The sequence below is a fragment of the Homo sapiens genome, chromosome 1, assembly GCF_000001405.40.
Source record: "Homo sapiens chromosome 1, GRCh38.p14 Primary Assembly".
Classification (NCBI taxonomy): Eukaryota; Metazoa; Chordata; class Mammalia; order Primates; family Hominidae; genus Homo; species Homo sapiens.
The window spans coordinates 56,192,170-56,200,320 of NC_000001.11; the positions used below are offsets into that span (position 1 = coordinate 56,192,170).

At 40.6% G+C, this 8,151-nt stretch overlaps 1 long non-coding RNA gene across 1 annotated transcript; it reads left to right on the forward strand.

Moving 5' to 3' along the window:
- Nucleotides 1-1,957: 1,957 nt before the first annotated feature.
- LOC124904190 (uncharacterized) lies at nt 1,958-7,634 on the forward strand. The gene is made up of 3 exons (XR_007066111.1): nt 1,958-2,090; nt 3,637-3,699; nt 7,565-7,634. It is a non-coding gene; the product is annotated as an uncharacterized LOC124904190 (long non-coding RNA).
- Nucleotides 7,635-8,151: the final 517 nt, after the last annotated feature.

Here is an 8,151-nt window from a genome sequence, read left to right on the forward strand (position 1 = left end):
TTCAGAACTTAAATGCTCTTTAATTAAAGCAAATATCATGGCATTTGTTCCAAGAGTCTGCAAGAGTTACTGACCAGCGGACTTCCTTGAGTTCCTTTCCCTGTCATAAGAAGTTGAAAATATCACCTCACAGATCACCCATAGATGTTTAATGCCCTAATTTGGAAATACTGCATTTCTGTTTTTATTTTTAGTTTTGCAACTTTGGGAACAGTGCAAAAGAGAAAGACCTAGGTTATGATGGAATGAACACTGGACATAAAGTGAAACCACCAGAATTCAAATGCTTACTATGTTCCTTATAAGTTGTGTCACCTTGTGTAAGTCACTTCTCATCTGCAATACGGGGAAACAATGCCCACTTCTCAAGTGCTGGGGAGCTCAATAGAAGTATCCCAGAAATAAAAAGCCTCATATACTGTACGTTTCTCCTGTTGAGTAAGTGTGAGTTGTGATCCCTCAAAAGGGCGACGAATTAGGATCAGGAGCCATAGAACCTGAATCTGGCCTCTGTTGCTAACCAGTTGGGTGACCTTCACAAATCATTGCACCTCTTGGAGGCTCATTTTTCTCACACCATTCAAGAAATATTCGCAAAATTTCTATCATGTGGCAGGTTCTGTGTATAATTCCATGAACTCTTAGTCAAATATAAGGATGACTATGACATTTTTGACTACTGGTTAATGATATGAATTGTGTAATTTCATTATTTCAATGTCGTATCTTCCCTTATGATCTCCATTTCGAGGTTGTATTGTTCTCTGTGATCTTAACCTTCTATTCTAATTTATATTGTCCTAGTTTCTGAATATTAAATATTTTTAATTTATACTTTACTATTTTAATAGAGCCATACTGAGTAAGTTGCTATGAATACTTTGTAGGGTGGAATGCAATACTGATATATAAACAAATTAATAAATAAGAGCAGAGGAAATATTCCCAGATTAAAATTTATTAATTTTGCCTAAGTAAATCTGATTGTCATTCTCCGATTACCCAACCCCAAACCTATCTTTATGTGAGATTTAAAATAAAGATGCTCGACCCGGTGCGGTGGCTTATGCCTGGCATCCCAGCACTTTGGGAGGCCGAGGCAAGCGGATCATGAGGTCAGAATATCGAGACCATCCTGGCCAACATGGTGAAACCCCGTCTCTACTAAAATACAAAAAAATTAGCCGGGCATGGTGGTATGTGCCTGTAGTCCCAGCAACTCAGGGGGCTGAGGCAGGGGAATCACTTGAACCCGGGAGGTGGAGATTGCAGTCAGTCGAGATCGCGCCACTGCACTCCAGCCTGGTGGCAAAGCGAGACTCCGTCTAAGATAAATAAATAAATAAGCTCACTTTTCCAAGATTAAACAATAGTTAAACGCCACCCCCCCCCCAAAAAAAGAGAGAAAGATACATCTGAGAAGGTTACTATAATTCATACATATTTTAAAGGATAATAGCAGCAGCTTTCCTGACAAATAGTTTTGAAAATGAGAGGGAAGGGTTCAAATCAAAGAGTGTTTTCTTTGACACTATGAGGGCTGATGGCAAGGAAAGGGGTGGTGAGAGCAGGGCACAACTGACCAAAGTGGAGGGACCTAGCTTTGTGCTGAGGATCTGATAGCAGCTATGACACCTAAATCCTCACATACCTGTAAAGCAGATGGCACCATCCCCTCTTCACAACTTGCCCCAGGCCACACGGCTATGAATTCAGATCCAAATCTTTTTGACTAAATGTGCACCATATTTCCACTCCACCATGCTGATTCCTTCATCCTCCTTCCTAATTTTGCTGAGTGTTAATATTGCCCCAGGTGAAAGCCTCTGCCTCAGTCCCAGGATACCCCTGAAATGTAGGTGAGCCCAGTGGGGGAGCAGTATAGCCAACCCATTCCCTCTCCTCCCTTTCCATGTGAGTCCTAGTCCATAGCTGTTCTACAGTGGCCTCATAAAGGACAAAGCAGACTTCATAAAGAATCAGCCTGAGTCTCCGGGCATACTCTAACCAGGGTGAGGAGAAAGTTTCTAGTTGTGTTCAGGAGAAGTTGTCTTCCTTTTTAGAGGCTTGCATTATGTGAGACAACTCAGGTTAGTATAATGGAAGGAGCACAGAATTTGTCATAAAGATAATAGTTGAAACCCAGGCTCTATAGCAGCACTGTACAGTAGAACTTTCTATAATAATGGACATGTTCTCTAGCTGCACTTTTCAATAGAATAGCAATAGCCATGTGTGACAGTAGGACTCTTGAAACGTAACTAGTGCAACTGAGCAACTGAGTTTTTAATTTTGTTTAGAGTTAATTAATCTAAATTTGTTTAGCACCATGTGACTAGTGGCTACTGTGTTGGATAGCATAGCTAGCTCTACTGCTTTCTAGCTGTGTGACCTTGAACAAGTCCCTTTATTTCTCAGAGCCTGAGATCACTCATCTGTGAAATGTTCATAATCCTGTCACCTTGCAACTTCATTGGATTGACAAAGAGAGGGAAGAGCCATGCAAGTGCTTAGCACAAAATTTTGCTTTTAATAAGGACTCAAGAGACCTTAGTTGAATCTGAAAATTTGAATCTTATAATAGTCAAAGAGAAATGCATGTTAAAAGTTTATGCCTGGATTTTTCTACAGAATTGATTCCTTATGATGGCTTTATTCATCCAAACTTCATTTGCCTGCCAAAAATGACCTCAGAGAAAACAGGAATAAAGAAAGTCACACTAGTTATAGGATGGTGGGTACCATCCCTACTCTCACCACCCTACTTCCCCTGGAGTTCTGAGATGTCATTTTCTCCCGTGATGGAAATAGCTAAAAGCAGGGCAAAGTGTTTCACATAAGATGTAGCCACAGATCTTTGAGAGTTTTGCCAACAATTTTCTTCTTTCTCCTCCACTTTTAAACACATTGTTTTCAAAAAATTTGTCCATCTGGTTCTGATTCATTTGCACTTAACTCATGAGAGTTAAGTTGCAATAGAGTTAAGTTATGTTGCAATAGCAGACTGACTTGTAAAAAGTTCTAATTCATACATCTCCCAGACTCTTTCCTTAGAAATAGGGAAATGTTTGGCCAACAGATGGACAAAGCCCACTCAAGATGGGAGAGAGGGTACAAGATGGCAGTCTCACCTCTGCTATAAGCTCTCAGGAAACCCTGAGCATGTCCTAAATTTCTACGGTCTGGGTGTCCCCCATCCTAGGATTATTGCATTGAGTAGGAATTGAGTTGGATGACCAAATGGTCCCTCTTGAGTACAGAACTGATGCATATAGTTGCACCAAATAAATTGCTGGATTCTTTAAATAACCACTTCAGCCAGAGTTCTTGTGATTCTACTGTCCTCAAGTTCTAGGGAGTTATCTACAAACCTCTTTGACTACCCATATGACCGCTGTCGAGATTATTTCATCAGAGTTCTTGTTTTCAATGATCTCCCAAAGTTGGGAATAACAACTCCCAAATTTATATTTCCAAACTACATTTTCTTCTGACTTACTGCCTCATATATACAACTGTCATCTTCACATCTTTACTTGGATGTGCTATATCCATCTCAAGCCAGGTGTGTCCAAAATGGAGATTAACATTTTTTCCCACAAATTTTTCCCTTCAATGTTCTCCACCTCCATAAAGAACAATACCATCTACCCAGTGGATCAAGAGACCTTGAATCAAGAGACACCAAGTTCAGCCACTGTAAGTCTCTCAGCTTTTTATTGAACTCTCCTTGAATGCTGAGGGCTAGAAAATTTTGTCTTCTTATATCTCTCACTCATTGAGCCTGCCAGTAGCTAATATTTTATTTTCCATGGGTTTAGGGTTGTTGATTCAAGTTCCTTCTAGAGCCAGGTGTGGTGACTCACACCTATAATCCCAGCACTTTGGGAAGCCGAGATGGGAAGATTGCTTGAGCCCATGGCCCATGTCTCTGGTCCCAGCTTCTCAGGAGGCCAAGGTGGGAGGATCACTTGAGCCTGGGAAGTCAAGTCTGCAGTAGGATGAGATCATACCACTACACTCCAGCCTGGGTGACAGAGTGAGAACCTGTCTCAAAAAAAATAAAAATAAAAAATTCCTTCCAGAATGGCCATTTTTCCACTAGACTGTGAGGTCTGGAAAAGGCAGGGAACATTCTGTTTGTTCTATATTCCTAGCACAAAACAGGTATGACAAAGTGAAAATTAGAGACTCTGTTCTCTACTTCCTTCCTACTATTTCTCTCTACCTTTACTCTAGCATTATCACACAGGCTATAATTATCTACATTTATTCTTCTTCATTAGACTGGGAAGCTTTGTCTTATTGACTCATCTTTGCTGTCTTAATACTAAGTTCCTAGCCTGACACTTAGGAAGTGTCCAAAGAATGTGTGCATGAATGAAGAAATAATAAAATGAATTAGTGAATGAAGAATAAAGAAATAAAGGAACTGATGAGGCACTCCCTGGCAGGCCCTGATTATGCTGCATCCAGGAGACACCTAATCACATATATTTTCTTCCATCATACAGCCCAGCCAGGAGGCAGGAAGAAAGATCAGGAAGAGCTTAATGTTCAGTGGAAATTTCTTACCAGCAATCAACTCCCAGTCTGACTTTTATAATTATTTCTCTCTCTCTCTCTCTCTCTCTCTCTCTCCCCCTCTCCTTTCTTCTCCCTCCTCTCTTTCTTTTTCTCTCGCTCTCTTTTTTTTAAAGTCAGTTGTGGTGTCTTTTCTTCCTTCCACCTTACCCATTATTATGATAATGACTTCAAACACCATGCATTGCTATTCAGGGCACTGTAAAAATGTGTTTTTCTCATCAGTCCCCATGAAATAGTTTCCACTGTCTGTTTCCCTTGCAGATAGCAATCAAAGTCTAGGCGCAACAATAAAGAAAAAAAAGGCCCAACTCTTGTCCAACATAGAATCTAAAACTTGTCCTTGGAAAGTGACCCCAAGGGAATTTAATCACAAATATTCTTGACTTGGCCCAGCCTCTTGCTGTTGAATACAGAGTATCAGGAATGGTCTGTTTCTGGGGACTGATTTCTCTATTATTCCCTCTTAGTTTTCTCAGAAGACCAAAATAAGAGGCCTTTGAAGAAAATTGCTCCCTTAAGACCTCCAGTAGAGTCTCCAGGGTCTAACACTAGTTTTTAAATTTCACTGTCCACATCCTGTGGCTATAGTCCCCTAAGCTCTAATCATCCTGTTGCCTGGACTTGTTATTCCCTCAGATTGGTTGACTTTGCATCACCAGGTCAGTACCTGGCCCTATCTCCTACTAGTCATATTACCTTGGACAATTGTTTCACCTCCTGTCCTCAGTGTTCCCATTATAAAACAGGAGTACTAACCTGTATCTCACAGGATAATTGTGAGGTTAAATTATATAATATAGCAGATACTAAATGGGAATTGGTCCTGGACTGGTTGGAGACCACAAATTCTTTCTCCTCCTTGTCAGCCTCTCCCTTCTCTAAGCTCTTTTAGTGCTAGTACCATGCTAACAGAATTCATAGGCAGAATGGCCTTTAGAGATTGTCAGTGGAAAAGTCCCATTTCAAATGTGTGGTATACATACACACATAGCACATACACAAAACACACCATACTACACACATTACCTACACACTGCACCAAACACACACCACCACATACACCACAATACACACATACAAAACATACCACACACACAAATCACACAATGCACACATACACACATGCAAAAGCTGGGCATTTGGTCATTTGCCATTTCAAATTCCAAGGATGGCCTGTCCCTAATGCCCTTTCTTCTCTTGGGATTTGGCCTTCATAACTAGGAAAGCAGTTCTGGTGCTCAATCAATCCAAAGGGGCTATGAGGAAACACTGTGTGAAACACAAAGAGAAGGATGCTGTTCTAAAGGTTTAGACCATATTTCCCATGCCCAATTGATGATAGTCATAAGTAACGTATGCAGAGCATTTATCGTGTCTGGGCACCATGCTGGTGCATTACCTGTAGGAAAAATTTAACCTTCATAACATACCTGTATGTATGCACTATTAAGCAATCAGATTGCAGAGAAAACAGTCATCCCCAGACATTCTCTATTGCCTGAGGTCCATTCAGTGGCTGGGCTCCCTGTGCCACCTTTGCTTACTAGCAACTAAAAGAGCAATTGTACCTCAAGCTAGGAGTGACCAATGATTAACTGGCAAAAGAGCACTGTGAGTGTTAATTTTTCTGAGTTTCATTTATAAATGGTCCAAAGAAAGTAACTGGTGGGCATCCAGAGATTAGGCCATGAATCTCTCTGCCATGTCATCACACTAAAAATATGGCTGATGTCTATGGTGCTAATGCTCGATACCTCCCAGAAGCCTACAGTCATTCCAGAGCCCATGTGGTGCTTGGTGCTCTTGGCTCCATACTAGTGCCAATTGCATAGTTTTGTTACTCAAAATGCAAAGCAATTTCTGTAAAGACCAAGCCAGCTGTTCTCTGCCAGCCTATAATTGGCCATTGAGTCTATAGAAAGTTGTTGACTTTTGTTGGCAAAAGAGTGGCACAAACAATCCACCCATGATGTCATATAACACAGGGCAGGACACAACCATTCCAGTCCCAGAGACTTACAAAGATACTAGGTTCCATTAAGCCAGGCAACTGGAATTTCAGTGATATCACTTAAAAAGAGGGCTGTCTCCTTTGGGACAACATGGCTGTGTAGATAAAATTTTAAAAATAGCTCTTACTGCTCTAAATAACATATATGAAGCATATGTATTCATAACATACATGAAACTCCTAAAGTTCTAAGATGGCATAAAACATTGAAAGAATTGGCTCCCAATAGGATCTGCATTTTCTGCTCCTTGTTCCATCTCAGTAGGCTGGATTAGACACCCTACAACCAACCTCCTCCCTTTAATTCATATGGTTGGCAGTTTGCAAAGTGCTTTCATGTTCATTATTTCATAAGTCATTCACAATGACCCTGAAGCATTATCATTTGTGTTTTACAGATGTGGAAATTATGCATCAGCAATTTATTTGGTAAGCAACTTACCAAATATCCCACAGCCCACAGTGACAGAGGTAGAACTGTATGATTGATTGTTCAGTGTTCATGCCACTGCACTGTGCTGCCGCCAGCCAGTCCAAATTTAGCTGCAACTTGATATCAATAGACTTTCCAGGGGATGCCCTGAGGCTTTCTGTTCTGAGTGATTGCAAGAAGAAAGGGGGTCATTTCTAGGTACAGTCGAGGCCACAGATCTTCCCATATGCTGCTCCCTACTGCTCTTTGACTCCAATTTATCTTTAAGTCTCAGATAAATGCCAGTTTCTCAAGGTGGGCTTCCCTGACACCCTACCTAAGTTAGGGGTTCCACTGTTATCTGTCTCTACAGCATCTTTATTTTTCCTATTTAATAATACTCACCATACTTACAATAACTTTTTCAATTCCTATTTTCTTTACTTAGCTATAAGCTTCATGAAGGCAGGAACCATATTCAGCTAGAACAGTTCCTATACATTAGGTACTTGATACATGTGTAGAATGAAAGAACAAATTGTTTCCTCTCATAGGAAAGTCTGGACAGGTCCAGAGAATGTCAGCCCATCAACTAGAAGGAAACTTACCTGAGATAGCCAGAGGGTAAGTATGAAATATATTCAAGAAAAAGATCAGCAACTGGTCAAATTACAGTAGCCATTTTTCAGGTCTAAACTGGGATTAGAAGCCAGGAACAGGACTGAAGGCAAAGGAACAGGAACAAAAGCCTTTTTTCTTTTTTTTCCAGCAGGATGGGTCACTCAAAGCTTCCCTGTTAGGGACCAGAGGAATGGCATCTCAGCAATAGGGCCAGGAAAACAAAGTTCGCAGCTCCCTTTGGGGCTTTTTAGTTAAAACAGATGGCTCTGTACCTTGATAAATGCTTTCCTTTTCATATAATAAGTGAATGAGAGCTATAGACAGATTCAGTGGTGAAATATCATGGCAGGAGGTGTGTTTAAGGAAGATTATTCAGTTAGAATATACAGAGAAAAACCACAAGAATTGGGAAGACCAACTATGATGCAAACAGACAAGAGGGAAGCAATGAGAACATGAATTAATATTGTGAAAATTGAACAGAATCAACAGAATTGAAATATACTTCAGAAGTACCCTC